The sequence below is a fragment of the Homo sapiens genome, chromosome 17 (assembly GCF_000001405.40).
Source record: "Homo sapiens chromosome 17, GRCh38.p14 Primary Assembly".
Taxonomy (NCBI): Eukaryota; Metazoa; Chordata; class Mammalia; order Primates; family Hominidae; genus Homo; species Homo sapiens.
In genome coordinates this window covers 43,349,002-43,368,139 of record NC_000017.11, presented here as the reverse complement: position 1 = coordinate 43,368,139, position 19,138 = coordinate 43,349,002, and the positions used below count along the sequence as shown (strand labels likewise).

The following is a 19,138-nucleotide window of genomic DNA, read 5'->3' as shown; positions in this document are numbered from 1 at the left end:
TGACCTCAGGATGAGTGGGAGAAGGAGTGCTGTGGCCGAAAGAAAGGGCTTGTTTCTTTTTTGGCTTTTTGACTAAGATCCAATGTAGCATGTTTTTTTCAGTTGAATAACTGATTTTTTTTGGTCTGAGGACGATATATTTAAGTGGGGTTTTGGAATAGAAAGATGAAATAGGAGCTGGTTTTTTCCACTCTGCGCATCGACTTGGTATTGCCGTGTTTCCAAAGAGGGTCAAAACACGTTTTACAAAGAACAGATTTACTTACATTCGCGTTGGTTTCATTATGTGGTGTTGTGTATGTGTGTGTGTGTTTTTGTGTTGTATAAGGAAAGTATTGGTGGGTGGTATTACTTCTTTGCTTCTAACCGGATTGAGAATAAGGGAATGCGTATTGGGAAAGTACGCCGCCGAGTCCTGAAACTGGGGACAAGGGTGCTTGTTGGCATCCTGATATGCCAAGGAGGTGCATTGCTAATTTCTGGACTCCAGACAGTTAAAACGTGAAGAAAGCAGGGTGGTCATCCATAAGCCAACGCCAGAAGCGACGTTGTTTAGTCTTCCCCAATGTTGCAGTTACTTTTGCTCTCATTTTTCATATTATTGCTTCCCAACTGCTCACATTTTTTCTTTTTTGTTTTTTTTGATACCGAGTCTCACTCTGTTGCCTAGGCTGGAGTGAAGTGGCCTCATGTCGGCTCACTGCAACCTCTGCCTCTCGGATTCAAGCGATCCTCCCGCCCCAGCCTCCCGAGTAGCTGGGACTACAGGCGTTCGCTACCATGGCTGGCTAATTTTTGTATTTTTAGGAGAGAGGGAGTTTCACCATGTCGGCCAGGTTTGTCTCCTGAACTCAAGTGATCCGCCCGCCTTGGCCTCCCAAAATGCTAGGGTTACAGGCCTGAGCCACCGCGCCCGACCTTTATTTGACTTCTTAGTCAGGGAGCTGAAGCCTGGTCCCTGCGAGTAAGAAAGCCTGGTCCCTGCGAATAAGAAAGGTTTGGGTAGGAGGCCTCATCGGAGGCATCTTGCAGTTAGCCAAGAGTGGGGAGAACTTTTTTCTTGTGGTTTCCGTAGGAGCTTAACTGCAGTAGAATAAAACATCAGTTACATTTCTAAGGTCTTGACTCCAAACCTTGGCTCCTAGACAGCATTCCAGCACCCACCCAGGGCTTGAGGGAGCTCACTGCCCTAAAGGGAGGGACATAATCCTGGCTGGCTTGGCCACCTGATCCTAGAGCTCTACTGCTTTGAGGGGGCATAGGTGGTAGCAGGTAGTGGATCTAGCAGGCCTTTGAGTGAGACCTGGTGCTGTGCTGGGTTTGGGTCTGAACCAGCACAGGGTTGCTTAGGCATCTCAGCACAGAGAGAGACTCCATTTATTTAGGAGAAAGTAAGGGAAAAGAACAAGAGTCTCTGCCTGGTAATCCAGAGGATTCTTTCAGATCTCATCCAAGACCACTGTTGCGGGAAGCTGGGGACCCTGAATGGAGGGACCGGCTGAAGCCATGGCAGAAGAATATAAATTGTGAAGATTTCATGGACATTTATTAGTTCCCCAAATTAATACTTTTATAATTTCTTACGCCTGTCTTTACTGCAATCTCTGAACATAAATTGTGAAGATTTCATGGACGCTTATCACTTCCCCAGTCAATACCCTTGTGATTTCCTATGCCTGTCTTTACTTTAATCTCTTAATCCCGTCATCTTCGTAAGCTGAGGAGGATGTATGTCACCTCAGGACCCTGTGATGATTGTGTAAATTGCACAAATTGTAGAGCATGTGTATTTGAACAACATGAATTCTGGGCGCCTTGAAAAAAGAACAGGATAACAGCAATGTTCAGGGAACAAGAGAGATAACCTTAAACTCTGACCACCGGTGAGCTGGGCAGAACAGAGCCATATTTCTCTTCTTTCAAAAGCAAATGGGAAAATATTGCTGAATTCTTTTTCTCAGCAAGGAACATCCCTGAGAAAGAGAATGCGTCCCTGAGGGTAGGCCTCTAAAATGGCTGCTTCGGGGGGCGGCCATCTTTTATGGTCGAAGCTGTAGGGATGAAATAAGCCCCAGTCTCCCATAGCGCTCCCAGGCTTATTAGGACGAGGAAATTCCCGCCGAATAAATTTTGGTCAGACCAGTTGTCTGCTCTCAAACCCTGTCTCCTGATAAGATGTTATCAATGACAATGTGTGCCTGAAACTTCCTTAGCAATTTTAATTTTGCCCCAGTCCTGTGGTCCTGTGATCTTGCCCTGCCTCCATTTGCCTTGTGATATTCTATTACCTTGTGAAGCACATGATCTCTGTGACCCACACCCTGTTCGTACACTCCCTCCCCTTTTGAAAATCACTAATAAAAACTTGCTGGTTTTATGGCTCAGGGGGCATCACGGAACCTGCCAACATGTGATGTCTCCCCCAGACACCCAGCTTTAAAATTTATCTCTTTTGTACTCTGTCCCTTTATTTCTCAGACTGGCCGACACTTCAGGAAAATAGAAAAGAACTACGTAAAATATCAGGGGTGAATTTTGCCTGATAGCTGGCTGAATTTCCCCCAATAACCACCAGGGTAGTACCTCTACAAGTCTGTAAGAATCACAGCATGATTGGACTTGGGGCACACATATCCTGGAATACCCAGAAAGCCTTCCCAAGAAAGACACACAGAAACAAGCCCAGACTGTGAAAAATACAGTAAATACCTAATTCTTCCATACGCAGACAAAACAAACATCCACAAACATCAAGATCATCCAAGAAAACATGGTCTCACCAAACCACATTTGTTCAATTCCAGAGGAACTGAGACGTGACATTTCAGACAGAGAATTCAAAATAGCCATTTTGAGGAAATTTAAAGAAACTAGAGAAAACGGCCAGGCGCGGTGGCTCACACCTGTAATCCCAGCACTTTGGGAGGCCGAGACAGGCAGATCACCTGAGGTTGGGAGTTCGAGACCAGCCTGACCAACATGGAGAAACCCCGTCTCTACAAAAACTACAAAATTAGCCAAGCATGGTGGCCTGTGCCTGTAATCCCAGCTACTCCAGGAGCCTGAGGCAGGAGAATTGTTTGAATCCGGGAGGCACCGGCTATGGGGAGCCAAGATCCCCACTGCACTCCAGCCTGGGCAACAAGAGAGAAACGAAAGAAAGAAAGAGAGAAAGAGAGAGAGAGAGGGAAAGGAAAAGAGAAAAGAAAAGACAAAGAAGTTGGAAATTCACAGTTCTATCAGGTGCATTTACCAGAGATTGAAATTATTCTTGCTGGACGCAGTGGCTCACACCTGTAATCCTGGCACTTTGGGAGGCAGAGGCAGGAGGATTGCTTGGGTCCAGTGGTTCAAGACCAACCTAGGCCACATGGTGAAATTTTGCCTTTACAAAAATAAAAAAATTAGCTGGGCATGGTGGCACACACCTGTAGTCCCGGCTACTCAGTAGGCTGAGATCTGAGAATCACTTAAACCCGGAAGACAGAGGGTGCAGTAAGCCGAGATCGTGCCATTGCACTCCAGACTGGGTGACAGAGTGAGACTTTGTCTTAAAAAAAAAAAAAAGAAAAGAAAAAGAAGAAGAAAAAAAAGGACAGGAAGAAGTCAAATTATCCTCGTTTGAAGGTGATATATTTGGAAAAACCTAAAGACTCCACCAAAATTAGGTGATTAGGACTTTGCAATTTACTTGTGTCAACTTATGACAGGAGGGATCGGCCCAGGCAGACAGTATAATGAGGAACAGTTTCTGGTGGAAATACACCAGGCCGATGTACATGTGAACAAGTGAGCAGTCCCAGTTGTCCCACCTCCCATCTAGAGGACTTAAATCCTATAAATTGGGTTTAGTCTCAGCCCTAAGACTCGCTCTTGCCAGACCCCCCACCATTCTGAACAATGACAGCCAAAGGAGGTCATACCTACAAAGGTCTTTGCTGAAGGGGAGTGAAAATTCTTCCGTGTCTATCGGTGCTTCTCAACCTTGGCTATACTTCAGGACGACCGGATACCTCGGTGGAGTGAATCATCCTGAGGTCCTAGCCCCACCGTACAGCCATTAAATTAGAATATTTGGGACAGGGCCTAAGGCTGTTGTACTTCACAGCTTCCGGGGTATTTCCCTGGGACCAAAAGCACCTCTTAGAATGTCCAGTGAAGACAGTAGTCAACTTGGTCTGGAACAACGAATTTTCCCCGGAAGTAAAAGTGTTCAACTCAACGGGAGGCACTCAGTAACCAGTGTGTAAATGAGGGACTAGCAAATCCCTTGGTTTTGTCACTGATAAGAGGCCACCCAGTCCAGTGGGGAGGCTTTTGCACCCAAATTGGACTATGCGCACAGCAAGTCCGGTAGCTTCTGTGCTGTTCCCACTCTGCAGAACTAGATGGACCCCAGCCCCACCACTGACCCCAAATTTATTTTGGAAATCGAGACTGGTGACATCACACAGGGACCGAGAAGGTGTGAAAAGGTTTATAATTCACAAAATGAGGTGTTCTGGGAGATCAGAGTGGCTCCCAGGCAGGTTGGAAAATGGCTTGAGAGGGAGGAGACTGGGTTGGTGTTTTGATGGGGGTTTGGGAAAGCGCAGGATGGAGGGCTCCGGGAGCGGGCCGGTGCTGCCTGCTGGGTGCCAATGAGGGGAGCACCCGGGTTTCGTCATCAGCTTGTTATCTCCACTCATAGAATGGGAGCCTCTTGTCATCTCCACTCAGATTGTCGGGACCTATTAATACACTTGGCTCTAAGAGGAGGAGGGCCGTGGACGAACGCTAATGCCGGCAGCGCCTTGGTCGTTTAGGCTCAGGTTAAGTGCGGAACTTGCTCTATCAGTTACTGTTATTTCGCGTTACATCAGCAAAGGAGATCTTCAAACGCTGTCTGCTGACAAGGTGGAATGGGAGCTTCTTTCGTTACCTCCACGCGTTTGCATCGGATCTTCGGGGCCTGTTAGCACACTTGTGTATAAGTCAGCAGCGCGTACTTTGGAGAGTGTGGCTGCTTTAGGTTTCACTTGGTTTAGTCACATGCGGTGTGACGGTCATTGGATTAAATGTTACTGCACCCACATCAGTATCCGTATTCTGACTGGTCTCTGCTATTACTTGGCACACTCAGATGCGATATTCGGATCGTTATATTTAAGTTTAGCGCCCCTACTTTACTATCCCAAGCGGGACTGTTTTTTCATTTACGTGTCTCCATCCGAGGCAGTATAAACATCTTTCCATTCAAGTTTCCCGCATGTGTTTCACTATCCAGAGTCGGACTGCTTTTGGATTTACGTGGCTTTGTGGGATGCGGTATGAAGATCGTTGCTTTCAAGTTTGCTTTGAAGATAGTAATGTGGGGCTGGGTGCGGTACCTCATGTAATCCCAGCACTTTGGGAGGCCGAGGCGGGTGGATCACCTGAGGTCAGGATTTGGAGACCAGCCTGGCCAACATGGTGAAACCGTGTCTCTTCTAAAAAAAAAAAATAAATAAAATACAATAATACAAAAATTAGCCGGGCATGGTGGCGCGCTCCTGTAATCCCAGCTACTTGGGAGGCTGAAGCAGGAGAACCACTTGAACCTGGCAAGCGGACTTTGTGGTGAGCCGAGATCGCTCCATTGCACTCCAGCCTGGGCAACAAGAGCCAAACTCTTTTCGTGTTTATATCCTCTTTCTTTAACTCTTACAGGGGCCCCTTTCCCAAGGCTCCGCCCAGCCCTGCAACCAGTCAGAGCATGTGCTCCCCTGAGGGCTGCACCCTGGCCTCCTCGAAAACTTGCCCTTGCCGGACCAGACAGTTGAGAAATGGCTAGAGGGACGAGACCTGAGTACCTGTCTCCATGTGTGCAGCTATACAAAATATGTAATTGCCGGGCGCGGTGGCTCAAGCCTGTAATCCCAGCACTTTGGGAGGCCCAGGCGGGGGATCATGAGGTCAGGAGATCGAGACCATCCTGACTAACACGGTGAAACCCCGTCTCTACTAAAAAATACAAAAAATTAGCTGGGCGTAGTGGGGGCGCCTGTAGTCCCAGCTCCTCGGGAGGCTGAGGCAGGAGAATGGCGTGAACCCGGGAGGCGGAGCTTGCAGTGAGCCGAGATCGCGCCACCGCACTCCAGCCTGGGCGGCAGAGCGAGACTCCCTCTCAAAAAAAAGAAAAAAAAAATGTAATTAGACGTCTGTAACACATGTAATAAAGCAAGTACAGCAAGATGACTTTAGGTGATGGGCATACGGGTGTTCACCAAACAATTCTTTCAACGTATGTGTGAAAAAAAGTTTAAAGTAATGTTGGATGCCAGCTAGGTCAGGACGAGATGGGGAGGGGGAGGGGGAAGGGAGGGGGAGGGGATGCGGAGGGGAAGGGAGGCGGAGGGAGAGGGGAGGGGAAGGGGAGGGGGAGGAGGAGGAAAGAAGAGCCTCCTAGAGCTCTTCGTGTCTTTTCCGTTGTGGGTTTTTCCTCCTGAAGGGCAATGAAGCCGAAGGAGCTTTCCCAAGATTCCAGTGATTTACAGGCGCTTTTCTGTTCAGTGGTTGGCAGGCAGGGCACGGCGGGGCATGCAAATTTAAAATGGCTGCTTCTCTCGGGAGTTATGGGAGCAAAAAAGGAAAGTGAATATCCTCCAAAATAGTAACAATATTACTTACGCAGGTGTTCAGATTTGGATAAAGATACACAATCTCAACGTAGGAGAGAGAGTTATTCAGGGTGCTATCTGTCACCCTGAGGTTAGGATGTGTGGGAGAAGGAGTACAGTGGCCGATCGTTAACATTTTCGTTTTGAAAACGGTGTTGATACAGTGGAAGGCTTGTGGTGTTGCTGGCCCTTGATCGCTGGAAGGATTCCGAGGTGTAGTTTTCGAAGCGGGAGTTTTGTTCGCATTGGGCGCTTAGCGTCTGTTACTGTCGCTAACGGGAGATTGTCAACGTGTTTGCATTGGGCCATTTGCATCAGTTGGGACCGTTGTTACTGACCTCCTAGGTTGTGTGTTGCGTTTACACGCTTAAATCCGGGTTTCACGGTCTCTTAGTACTCGCGTATTTAAGCTCATCGCGCGTACCTTACTTCTACGCGTTCACGTCGGTTCGTCCGGGCCTATCAGCGCCGCTGCTTTTAAATTGGCCGTGTGCGCTTTACGTTTGCACCTTTACGTCGGATCACTGGGGTCCATCAGCGCCGTAGTTTTTGAGCTGGCCGGGCGTGCTTTCGAGCGCTTAGTTGCTTTCGGTTTCACTTGGTTGCGGCGTGACGATCATTGAGTTAAAGGTTACTGCACTCACTTCAGTCGCCATCGGTCTCCGTAATCTGACTGCCCTTTGCTATTACTTGCTTCACTCACATACGATATGCGGACGGTCCTATTTAAGTTGAGCGCCCATACTTCACTATCCCAAGTGGGACTGCTTTTTCATTTACGTGTCTCTATCCGAGGCAGTATAAACATCTTTCCATTCAAGTTTACCGCATGTGTTTCACTATCGAGAGTCGGACTGCTTTTGGATTTACGTGGCTTTGTGGGATGCGGTATGAAGATCGTTGCATTCAAGTTTACCGCCTCTACTTCACTGCAGAATCTGACTGCCGTCAGATCTGTATGACAGATTGTTGCATTCGTTTTCTGCGGGTACGTCACTATCCAGTCTACTTTTTCCATTGACGTGGCTGAGTCATATGTAGTATGACTGTCAGAGACGTTGGAACCTGAAGCGACCCCATTTTGAGTGAGGGCTAGAAAAATGAGGCCGGGACTTACGGGCCTGCATTCTCAGAAGGATATTCCTAGCTTTCAGATACTTACGGTTAAGGGAACAAATTAATGTTTACTGAAGAGACCCGAGTGTCCAGATAGCTGGATATCTGGAGAACAAAGGCGTTCCTAATTTTGCTTTAAAGGTAGTAATAGGGATTCTTGCAAAATGTAATAATTAAAGTTAATTATCACAAACCCTTGTAACAGAACACCTCTCCCCATGTGTACAAGCATTGTACCTAGGGTGGATACGTTCCTTCTCTTAGTTTCAGGAACGCCCTTCTCTGTCTGTGGAGTAGCTGTTCTTTCACCACTTTACTTTCTTAATAAACTTGCTTTTATTTTGCACCGCGGACTTGCCCTGAGTTATTTCTTGCGCGAGACCCAAGAACCCTCTCTTTGGGTCTGGATCGGGGCCCTTTTCCTGTGACGTATTTCTGGCCACCACAGATGGGACTATAGTGCTTTGGGGAAGTGTTGGGGTCCTATAACATATTTCTGGCGAATGATGGAAGGGACGATACTGAAGAAACTCCCCCAACCCAAAGGAAGTAGACTGCAGCACTGCAGTAGTCAGTAGACTGACTTTGGGTAAGTGGTGGAGTGCCCGGGTAAAGAATGGGATTGGGTTAGAGGCCCAACTTAATGGAGTTAGAGTCTTTCCTAAAAGAGAGTGGGTTAGAGGCCCCTCTTAATAAAAGGCAAGGACACTTGACCGACCTCGGGTTAGAGGCCCGACCGAGGAGGGTTAGAGGCCCCTCCCAGTAAAGCCCCTCTCGGCTAAAAAACAGGTTTGACACCGCAGGCTATGCTCTTTGTATTAGTCTGCCTCGTCCTCCTTGTCTTGGTTGCTGTCTCCGTTTCAGTGTCATTTTCAGGAGACTTCATTTAACTGGTCTTAGGGATTTTAACTGATTCTTCTCCTATGTCCCTCCCGATTTCTGTCCGTTTGCTTGTGAAACACTGGGAACCAAAAGCATTGGAGGATCCGGCTCTAAAATTGCTGATTGAGATTTGATATTTAACAGCTATGAGCAGTAAGATTCGATAGATGTGGTTGTGTTTTGTTGCTGCTGTGCTGAGTGTGATTGAGAAGCACTAGGATGGAAATCAGGGGACTTTTCTCCTTGCTGTTTTGTTTGGTTTTGCACACTAAAAAATCTCCTTTGTAGCTAAGTGCGGTGGCTCACACCTGTAATCCCAGCACTTTGGGAGGCCGAGGCAGGCAGATCACCTGAAATCAGGAGTTCGAGACCATCCTGGCCAACGTGTTGAAACCCCGTCTCTACTAAAAATACAAACATTACCCGGGTGTAGTGGCAGACATCTGTAATCCCAGCTTCTTGGGATGCTGAGTCAGGAGAATCGCTTTAATCTAGGAGTCAGAGTTTGCAGTTAGCTGAGATTGCACCACTGCACTCCAGCAGTCTTCTCAACAGAGCGAGACTCTGTCTCAAAAGAAAATAAAAAAACTTTCTTTTCTTGGATTCGGGCAAACCGTGTTTGCTTTGCTTTTCCAATCCTCACTGCTGTTATTGGTTACTCTGGTTGTTCCCATCTAAATCCTCTTCATTTATTTTGCCTTATTCGACATTTTTTTCAAAGTCCATGTTGTGGTTTATCTAAGATTCATAGCTCAGCTCACTTATGTTATTTGGATAATGTGAATCATGTTTGATGAGAGGAAAAGAAGAAAAAGATTTAGACATACTAGGTGATCCTTTAATGCAAGCCCTGCTGTGGTTCAGCAGGCATTTTTGGGTGGAGCGGAACCCCTTTCTGTCAGCTCTGAAGGTTCGTATGTGTCAGTTCTTTCTCCCTGTAGTCCACCTGAAAGTTCTTGAGAACCCTTCGTCCCTTCTCCTTACCCAGCTAGTCCCACTCTGTACCCACCATTCCCACAAAGAACTTAGCCCACCGAGTACTACTTATAGTGCAGCCTGCTATCAACCTCCAAAGGGAAATCTTTGTCCACTTAGGTGGCAAATCGGGAAGAGGGCACTGTGAGAGTACATGTTCCCTTTTCTCCGTCTGGTTTGACCCTATATATAGAGAAGGTTGGTCATTTCTCTGAAGATCCAGGAAAATTTGTAGATGAGTTTGAGAAATCAACTCTGACCTATAGTTTAACTTGGGAGGATCTGCATGTTTTGTTGTCTCTGTGTTGTACAGTGGAGGAGAAACAATGCATTTTGGGGACAGCTAGGACCCATGCAGATGAGGTATTGGCTCGCAACCCGTACCATACTATGTATCAGGCAGGAAGTATAGCAGTTCCAGATCAAGATGCAGAGTGGAATTATCAAAGGCGCAGTGAGCACTTGGGGAGGAGAGATCATATGGTCACTTGTTCGTTGGAAGGGATGAAGAAATGTATGAAAAAGCCTGTTATCTATGAACAGGTTAAGGAAGATTCTCAGGATAAAGATGAGAATCCAGGTTTGTTTCAAGGGCATTTAGTTGAAGCAATCGGGAAGTATAATATCACTGATCCTGCCTCAAAGGAGAGACAAACCCTTTTGGGAGGACATTTTATGACCCAGTCTGCCCCTGATATCCCCAGGAAACTACAAAAAGCAGCTATGGGAGCCGGGCGTGGTGGCTCAAGCCTGTAATCCCAGCACTTTGGGAGGCTGAGGGGGGTGGATCACTTGAGGTCAGGAGTTCAAGACCAGCCTGGCCAGCATGGTGAAACCCCTTCTCTACTAAAAATACAAAAATTAGCTGGGGATGGTGACAAGTGCCTGTAATCTCACCTACTTGGGCGGCTGAGGCAGGAGAATTGCTTGAACCCATGAGGTGGAAGTTGCAGTGAGCCCAGATCACGCTATTGCACTCCAGCCTGGGTGACAGAGCGAGACTGTGTCTAAAAAAAAAAAAACAAAAACACACTATGTGACTATGTGTCCCTAGACTCCTATTAAACAGCTTTTGGATATGGCATTTTTAGTTTTTAATAACGGGGACAAAGCACAGGAAGCAGAAAGAGGAGCAAGAAGGACCTCCCACAAGGTGCAGCTCTTGGCTGCAGCCTTAAGCTCACCTCCTACATAGAGTTTCTTTCCTGGCTCTTGGAGTGAAGAAGGGAAGCTGAAATGTGAGAAGCCCAGAGCTGGATGTCCAAGTCAGCGTGTTTTGGGCATGAATCAGTGTGCACACTGTAAGGAAACTGGTCATTGGAAGAGGGATTGCCCAGTCTTCCTCCAAAGGGAGCTGTTAGGTCCAGGGCCGTGACTATGACAAATGTCATGCTCAGGGTTAGGGTGCAGCCCATGATGAGGTCTGAGAGGAGTGGATGGATAGATGAATAGCTGAAAGAACATTCGGGGCGGTGTAGACAGGTGAAATGTAGTTTTATTCAGCAGCTCTCTCATCAGCAGTTCTCTCACACTAGCTCTTTTATACTGTTCGCCTTTATCTTGGCTGTCTGCTCTGACTCTGGACCCTCTCAGCAGCTAGCTCCCACTCACAGCTGCACAACTGGTCTGCAAGGCCAGCTCTAAGATCAGTAGCTTAACCTTTCTCTCTGGGCACAAGCTGAGCCATGTCCTGGCTCCCCTCTATCCACCTGTCAGACAGTCATTCTCCCTTACAGGGGTCAGTAGCTTCACTCTCTTTCTGAGCACCAGTGCCTGCACAAGAGCGATGCTGAGCCATGTTGAGTCCCCGTGCACAGTGTCAGCAGGGCAGTTATTCCTTTTACAGACAGTAGTGGTGTAGAGCCAAGTATGAGCTTACACAAACAGGTTATATAACAAGTGGAGGTGAGTGCCTGTGCAGCAGTCTCACTGAGTCATGCAGGCCTGGATATCTGCCTCGGCTATTCCTTGACCAAAGCACATCCATGTACCTTACAGCAGCCATCTGCACCCAAACCAGATGCCAAAATAACCAGGGAAGCCCAAGAGTGACGGGGCCCAAGACCTTCCGCTACACCTCCCGTCGGACAACTAGCCATATCTTCTGAGAAGCCTCAGATAACCCTTGACATGACAGGTAATAATATTAACTTCCTTCTAGAATGCTTACTCTGTTTTGACCCATTATAATGGGCCTCTGTCATCCCAAAACTCTATGGTCAAGGGGATAGACAGGCCCATAGATGCCATTTTACCTATCCTATAAGCTGCTCTTCAGGGACTTTGGTTTTCTCCTGAATGCCCCACCCTTGTTGGGAAGGGGTTTATTAACTCAGCTGCAAACAGTAGTATGTTTTGGAAATGACAAGGCAGACAGAAAATGCTTCTTCTCCTTTCCTGTGAATAAATACCAGGCTTTGTTGCTAGATGCTCCTGATACAACACTTAAAGTATGCCAGATTTTAATCCAGCTACCTACTTGCCTGAACCCACAGGCACCCCAGATCATTCTTGGATACAAGTTATGGAGCAAGTTTACTCTAGCCGTCCACATTTAAAAGATGAGCCTCTAGATAATCCCAAAGTAGAATGGTTTACAGATGGAAATAGCTTTGTGAAGGGGTGGGTTGCCCCTCCACACCTGTGGGTGTTTCTCATTAGCTGGAACGAGAGACTTGGAAAAGAAAAAGACACAGAGACAAAGTATAGAGAAAGAAATAAGGGGACCCAGGGAACCAGCGTTCAGCATATGGAGGATCCCGCCAGCCTCAGAGTTCCCTTAGTATTTATTGATCATTTTTGGGTGTTTCTCAGAGAGGGGGATGTGGCAGGGTCATAGGATAATAGTGGAGAGAAGGTCAGCAGATAAACACGTGAACAAAAGTCTCTGCATCATAGACAAGGTAAAGAATTAAGTGCTGTGCTTTAGATATGCATACACATAAACATCTCAATGCCTTACAGAGCAGTATTGTTGCCCGCATGTCCCACCTCCAGCCCTAAGGCGGTTTTCCCCTATCTCAGTAGATGGAGCATACAATCGGGTTTTATACGGAGACATTCCATTGCCCAGGGATGGGCAGGAGACAGATGCCTTCCTCTTGTCTCAACTGCAAAGAGGCATGCCTTCCTCTTATACTAATCCTCCTCAGCACAGACCCTTTACGGGTGTCGGGCTGGGGGACGGTCAGGTCTTTCCCTTCCCACGAGGCCATATTTCAGACTATCGCATGGGGAGAAACCTTGGACAATACCTGGCTTTCCTAGGCAGAGGTCCCTGCGGCCTTCTGCAGTGTTTGTGTCCCTGGGTACTTGAGATTAGGGAGTGGTGATGACTCTTAAGGAGCATGCTGCCTTCAAGCATCTGTTTAACAAAGCACATCTTGCACCGCCCTTAATCCATTCAACTCTGAGTTGACACAGCACATGTTTCAGAGAGCACGGGGTTGGGGGTAAGGTCACAGAATCTCAAGGCAGAAGAATTTTTCTTAGTACATAACAAAATGGAGTCTCCTATGTCTACTTCTTTCTACACAGACACAGTAACAATCTGATCTCTCTTGCTTTTCCCCACAATACTGATTCTAAGTATGCCTTTCTGGCACTTCATGCTCATGCTGCTATCTGGAAGGAACAGGGCCTTCCAACTGCTAAGGGATCCCTATAAAACATCACTTAGAAATTCGGAATCTATTGGATGCTGTTTTGCTGCCCAAGGAAGTAGCTCTAATCCATTGCAGAGGACATCAAAAAGGAGACTCTAGTGCGGCTAAGGGAAACTCCTTTGCAGATGCAGCTGCTAAGACAGCAGCATTAAAGGAGCTAGTTGGACCTGTCAGCATGTTAGTGCCCTCAGCCATGGTAATGACAGAACCTGGGTATACTGAAGAGGAACAAGAATGGGCTAAAGGTCAGGGTTTAATTCAAGATCCTTCTGGCTGGCTTATCAATGACAACAAGCTGTTACTACCAGGTGCTAATCAGTGGAAAATAGCTAAGTATTTGCATGACTCTCTCTACTCATCTGGAAAGAGATTCCCTGTTTTAATTAATGCCCAGGCTTTTTGTAGGAAAAGACTTACTTAAAATGGTAAAGCAGGTAACTCAGGCCTGTGACCTATGTGCCCGGAATAACCCAAATAACCAATCTTTACCTCCTCCCCTAATAAGTCCTGTTTAGCATAGGGGAATGTACCTTGTTGAAGACTGACAAATAGACTATACTCAGATGCCCCTATGTAAAGGGTTGAAATATTTATTGTTAGTCATTAACACCTTTACTTGTTGGTTCAGGCTTTTCCTACCTGGTCTGAAAAGGCAATTGAAGTTTCTAAACTCCTGTTAAAGGAAATAAGTCTTAGATTTGGTCCGCCTAAGAGTTTACAGAGCAATCATTGGCCATGTTTCACAGTGACAATTACCCAAAACGTATCTTCAGCCCTAGGAATTCAGTACCGCCTTCACTTGGCAAGGAGGCCACAGTCTTCAGGGAAAGTAGAAAGAGCTAATCAAGCTCTAAAAAGGACTCTTGCTAAACTATGCCAGGAGATATCAGAAACCTGGCTGTCTTTATTACCTATAGCCTTATTAAGTGTTTGAGTGGCTCCTAAGGGAAATCTATGGCTCACCAGTTTTGAAATTATGTATGGAAGGCCTTTCTTAACTACAGACCTCCTAATAGACATAGATACTTTCAAGCTACAGAATTATGTGATCAACTTAGAACAAATGCAAAATGCACTCCTTAAATATGGAAACCAAAGACTCCCTTCCCCCACTAAGAAAGAGACTCTTGTTACAACCCAGCCAGGAGATTGAGTCCTGTTAGAAACTTGGAACTATTCCCAGAAGATCAACTTTCCCCAAAATGGAAGGGACCCTATCAAGTTCTCCTCAGTATGCCAGCTATAGTTAAACTTCTGGGAATAAACAGCTGGGTCCACTTATCTCGAATGAAACCTGTCTCTTATGAAGTCCCGCAATCTGGTGGAACACAGACTGATCCCGTTTATCCCTGTGAGCCAAGCAGTGACCTCCGACTCCTGTTCAGAAGAAATGAAAGAGATGGGTAACCTAAAGATATGGATTGGGATTCTCCTTTTGGGTAGAAGTTGGAATCATGCAGAGATTAACTTATTTATTGAGTGGGCATAGGCTTTAGCCTCTCTACATAATCAGATAAACTGCTGGGTATGTGGACATTTTAACAGCAGCCCAAGGGGAAACATGTGCTTTGATCAAAATCGAATGTTGTGTGTATGTTTTTGACTATTCACATACTATTACCCAGGCTATGAAAGCTTTAGACACTCATATCTCTGCCATTGGCGTGCTGTCAATCGACCCTATATTGGCTTGGTTTCAACAACTGCCTAGTTCTTGGAAAGACTTCCTGTTTAGTTTACTTGGAATAATTTTACTTACTTTGCTTTGCTGCTGTGGAAAATATTGTGGTTGAGCTCTTTGTGTAGGAATGCAAGACAAGCTCACTCAATGCTTTTTTAAATTGGACACTTACTAATCTTCCAGATATCACCTTTCGTCAGAACTCAGAGTTATGAATGACATTTACCATATCAACGCTCTCTGAGCTTTTCTCTATCCCGAATGCAAGAGACTGTAATAGTTAGGCAGCAATATCATTGCCCCAATTCAGCCTGAAGAAGTTACACAAGACAGATCTTCATCTTGCTGCAACCCTTAGGATTAAGGGTCCTGTTGTAAAGGGAGTGGGGAGATATGTCCGAGGCATTTGAACCAAAGCGACTCCATTTTGAGGGAGGGCTAGGAAAATGAGGCTGGGACTTTCTGGGCTGGATTCTGAGAAAGTCAGGCATTCCTAGCCTCTAGATGTTTATGGCTAAGGGAACAAATTAATAATGTTTACTAAACAGACCCAAACGTGGCAATGTCCAGATATGTCGATATCTGGAGAACAAAGGCATTCCTAATTTTGCTTCAAAGATGATAATATCGGTTCTTGCAAAATACAGTAATTGAGAACATTAATCTTTTATCACAAACCCTTGTAGCAGAGCACATCTCCCCAAATATACAAGCATTGTACCTAGGATAGATGTGTTCCTCCTCTTACTTTTGGGAATGTCCTATTCTGTCTATGGAGTAGCTGTTTTTTCACCACTTTGCCTTCTTAAAAAACTTGCATTTACTTTGCACTGAGGGCTCATCCTGAATTCTTTCTTGTGTGAGATTCAAGAACCCTCTCTTGGGGTCTGGATTGGGGCCCCTTTCCTGTAACATGATTGCTGCATTCAAGTTTTCTGTGTGTACGTTACTATCTAGAGTCTGACTTCTTTTTGATTCACTTGGCTCACTCACATGCAGTATGAAGATTGCTGCCTTCAATGTCATGGCGTGTATGTCACTATTAGGAGTCTTACCACTTTTCAATTCACTTGGCTTAGTCAGATGCGGTATGAATATCACTGCATTCATATTCGTCACATGTACGTCACTATCCAGAGTCTAACTACATTTCAATTCACCTGGCTCAGTCAGAGGGGTATAAAGAGCCTGTCATTTAAATTTATGACATGTACTTTGCTCTCCAGAGTCTGACTAATTTTCGATTCACTTGACTCAGTTAGATGTGGTATGAAGATGATTGACTTCCAGTTACCGCATGAACATCACTCTGCTGAGTCTATTTTTTGATTCACGTGGCTCAGTAGATATGGTATGAAGATCACTGCATTCACGTTTACCACGTGTATATCACCAGAGTGTGACTTACTTTCCATTCACTTGGCTCAGTCAGTGTGGGCAGAAAGCCACCCAGGTGCCGAGGAAAGAGACTGAAGGCATAAGCTGCTCCAATATAATAAAGAAAATAGTTAGGATAAAAGAAAGTTATATTAGACATAGGATATAGAGATTATATATGGATATTATCAATTATTAGTTTTTAGTATTAATGTTTGTTATTTTAACTGAGGAAAAACCAGGCCATACAGAGTCAGGAGCTGAAGGGACACTGTGAGAGGTGACCAGAAGACAAGAGTATGAACCCTCTGTCACACCCAAATAAGGGCTCCTTGAGGGCTCCTTGGTTTAGTGGTAGTGCCAGTGCCTGGGAAGGCACCCGTTATTTAGCAGACCTTGGTCTAGCAGTAGTGCCAGTGCGTGGGAAGGCGGCACCCATTACTTAGCAGACCAGGAAAGGGAGTTTCCCTTTCCTTGGGGGAGTTAGAGAACACTCTGCTCCACCAGCTCTTGTGGGAGGTCGAACAGTAGCCAGGCCTGCCCGTAGTCATCTGGAGGCTTAAACGTCTCCCTGTGATGCTGTGCTTCAGTGGTCATGCTCCTTGTTCACTTTCACATTCCGCCTGTACACCTGGCTCCTCCTTTTAAGTTCTTAGAAGATAGCAGTAGCAGAATTAGTAAAAGTACTAACGTCTTTGATCTTTCTGATAAGTGCATAGAAAAAATGCTGACGTATGCTGTCCTCCCTCTCTGCTTTGGCTACCACAAAGGGAAAGGCTGCCTGTCACGTGGACAAGTGACTTGCTTGACCTTATCAATCACTTGGGATGACTCACTCTCCTTACCCTGCCCCTTTGCCTTGTATACAATAAATAGCAATGCATCCAGGCATTCTGGGCCACTACCGGACTCCACGCATTGGTGGTAGTGGCCCCCTGGGCCCAGCTGTCTTTCTTACTGTCTTTGTCTTGTGTCTTATTTTCCTATGATCTCTTGTCTCCACACATGAAGAGAAAACCCACAGGCCCTGTAGGGCTGGACCTTACGTCTGGCACCCAATGAGGTCTTCTCTCTCACTGTGTGAAGGTGCGCCTTGAGCGTGGAACTCAGCGAAGGACTACCAATGACAGATTCCTGAGGATTGCAGTCAATAAGCTTGGTGGTAAGCTTGGACACTCAGAGAATCCCGGGGACACCATGGGACAGGCCAGTACCAAGTGCTTGGCTTATTTGAACTTTATAAAAACTCTCCTTAAAGAAAGAGGTAGGCCGAGGCGGGCGGATCACGAGGTCAGGAGATCGAGACCATCTTGGCTAACACGGTGAAACCCCGTTTCTACTAAAAATACAAAAAATTAGCCGGGCGTGTTGGCGGGCGCCTGTAGTCCCAGCTACTTGGGAGGCTGAGGCAGGAGAATGGCGTGAACCCGGGAGGCGGAGCTTGCAGTGAGCTGAGATTGCGCCACCGCACTCCAACCTGGGAGACACAGCGAGACTCTGTCTCAAAAAAAAAAAAAAAAAAAAAAAAAAAAAAAAAAAAAAAAAAAAAAAAAAGAGGTGTAAAAGTCTCTACTGATAAGTTAATTGAACTGTTTGAGGTTGTAGAACTCCTTTACCCTTGGTTTCCTACTGAGGGAAATTTAGAACTCAAACTCTGGGACGAAATTGGCTGACAATTTAAAATTGTTCATAAAGGGGAACATATTATTCTGCCCACATTTGCTTAATCTGGGCTTTGGTTCACTCTGTCCTAGACTCCTTGCATCCTCATGAGGACAACATGGAGGCTGGTCCCTCTTTCCTCTCCTCCAAGGAGGTTGAGGAAGTCCTCAGTTCTCTTTCCCCTGAGGATACTGCACAGATTGAGGCCGTGATTCTGCAGACGGACCTCCATTCTGACATTCCTTTGGCCCCACCACCTACACCAGAGCCTACCATGCCTCCATTATCACTTTTTGATGACCTTTAAAAATGATCTTTCCCCAAACCAGCAAACTCCAACCGAAATATATCATCAACAGCTATCATGGCCAGACCCTCCTGTCTTTCCTCAGCCCTGCTGTAGGGCTCTCAACCTTCCGCCTGTTCAGCCCAGCAATGAGGCCCTCAACTCTGTCTCTGTTCAGCCCTGCTGTGGGGCTCTCAACCTTCTGCCTGTTTGGCCTGGTAATGAGGCTTCTGTGGGCAGCAAGCCACCCAAGTGCCGAGGCAAGAGACTGAGAGCACGAGCTATTCCAGTGTAATAAGATATATGTAATAACAAGAGTTATACTAGATATAAATCACAGATATGATTATATGTACATATCATTAATCATTAGTTTGTAGTAATTACTCTTTATCCCAATATTATAATAATCCTTGCACTACAATCATAACCTAGAAAAAACCAGGCCATACAGAGATAGGATCTGAGGGGACATGGTGAGAAGTGACCAGTAGACAAGAGTGTGAGCCTTCTGTTATGTCCGGACAGGGCCACCAGAGGGCTCCTTGGTCTAGCAGTAACACCAGCATCTGGGAAGACACCTGTTACCAAGTGGACCATGGTCTAGTAGTAGCATCAGTGCCAAGGAAAAGCACCCGCTACTGAGCAGACCAGGAAAGGGAGTCTCCTTTTCCCTGGGGGAGTTTAGAGAAGACTCTACTCCACCACCTCTTGTGGAGGGCCTGACATCAGTCAGGCCCACCTGCAGTTATCCAGAGGCCTAACCATCTCCCTGTGATGCTGTGCTTCAGTGGTCACACTCCTGGTCCACTTTAATGTTCCATCCTGTACACCTGGCTCTGCCTTCTAGATAGTA

At 46.3% G+C, this 19,138-nt stretch overlaps 1 non-coding gene across 1 annotated transcript, besides 8 other annotated features; it reads left to right on the top strand.

Moving 5' to 3' along the window:
• The first annotated feature begins 52 nt into the window (after positions 1–52).
• On the top strand, positions 53–241 carry LOC124904147 (U2 spliceosomal RNA). The gene has a single exon (XR_007066020.1). It is a non-coding gene; the product is annotated as a U2 spliceosomal RNA (small nuclear RNA).
• Positions 245–539: a silencer, noted in NCBI's record as "tiled region #625; K562 Repressive non-DNase unmatched - State 5:Enh, and HepG2 Repressive non-DNase unmatched - State 1:Tss". NCBI's record gives its function as "represses a minimal TATA promoter and a strong SV40 promoter by Sharpr-MPRA in K562 cells, with weaker repression in HepG2 cells {active_cell/tissue: HepG2 | K562}" and the evidence as "EXISTENCE:reporter gene assay evidence [ECO:0000049][PMID:27701403]".
• Positions 6,317–6,416: a silencer, noted in NCBI's record as "silent region_8553". NCBI's record gives its function as "represses an Ori minimal core promoter by ATAC-STARR-seq in GM12878 lymphoblastoid cells {active_cell/tissue: GM12878}" and the evidence as "EXISTENCE:reporter gene assay evidence [ECO:0000049][PMID:35858748]".
• Positions 6,867–6,926: a silencer, noted in NCBI's record as "silent region_8552". NCBI's record gives its function as "represses an Ori minimal core promoter by ATAC-STARR-seq in GM12878 lymphoblastoid cells {active_cell/tissue: GM12878}" and the evidence as "EXISTENCE:reporter gene assay evidence [ECO:0000049][PMID:35858748]".
• Positions 7,177–7,356: an enhancer, noted in NCBI's record as "active region_12241". NCBI's record gives its function as "activates an Ori minimal core promoter by ATAC-STARR-seq in GM12878 lymphoblastoid cells {active_cell/tissue: GM12878}" and the evidence as "EXISTENCE:reporter gene assay evidence [ECO:0000049][PMID:35858748]".
• Positions 7,402–8,097: an enhancer, noted in NCBI's record as "NANOG-H3K27ac hESC enhancer chr17:41437411-41438106 (GRCh37/hg19 assembly coordinates)". NCBI's record gives its function as "activates a minimal SCP1, AML or CMV promoter by ChIP-STARR-seq in naive H9 embryonic stem cells {active_cell/tissue: H9 hESC(naive)}" and the evidence as "EXISTENCE:reporter gene assay evidence [ECO:0000049][PMID:30033119]".
• Positions 15,827–17,026: an enhancer, noted in NCBI's record as "BRD4-independent group 4 enhancer chr17:41428482-41429681 (GRCh37/hg19 assembly coordinates)". NCBI's record gives its function as "activates an origin of replication core promoter dependent on BRD2, P300/CBP, MED14 and CDK7 cofactors, and independent of BRD4, by STARR-seq in HCT116 cells {active_cell/tissue: HCT116}" and the evidence as "EXISTENCE:reporter gene assay evidence [ECO:0000049][PMID:35650434]".
• Positions 15,827–17,239: a biological region, named in NCBI's record as "BRD4-independent group 4 enhancer GRCh37_chr17:41428482-41429681".
• Positions 16,945–17,239: an enhancer, noted in NCBI's record as "tiled region #4809; HepG2 Activating non-DNase unmatched - State 18:Pol2, and K562 Activating DNase matched - State 6:EnhF". NCBI's record gives its function as "activates a minimal TATA promoter and a strong SV40 promoter by Sharpr-MPRA in HepG2 and K562 cells {active_cell/tissue: HepG2 | K562}" and the evidence as "EXISTENCE:reporter gene assay evidence [ECO:0000049][PMID:27701403]".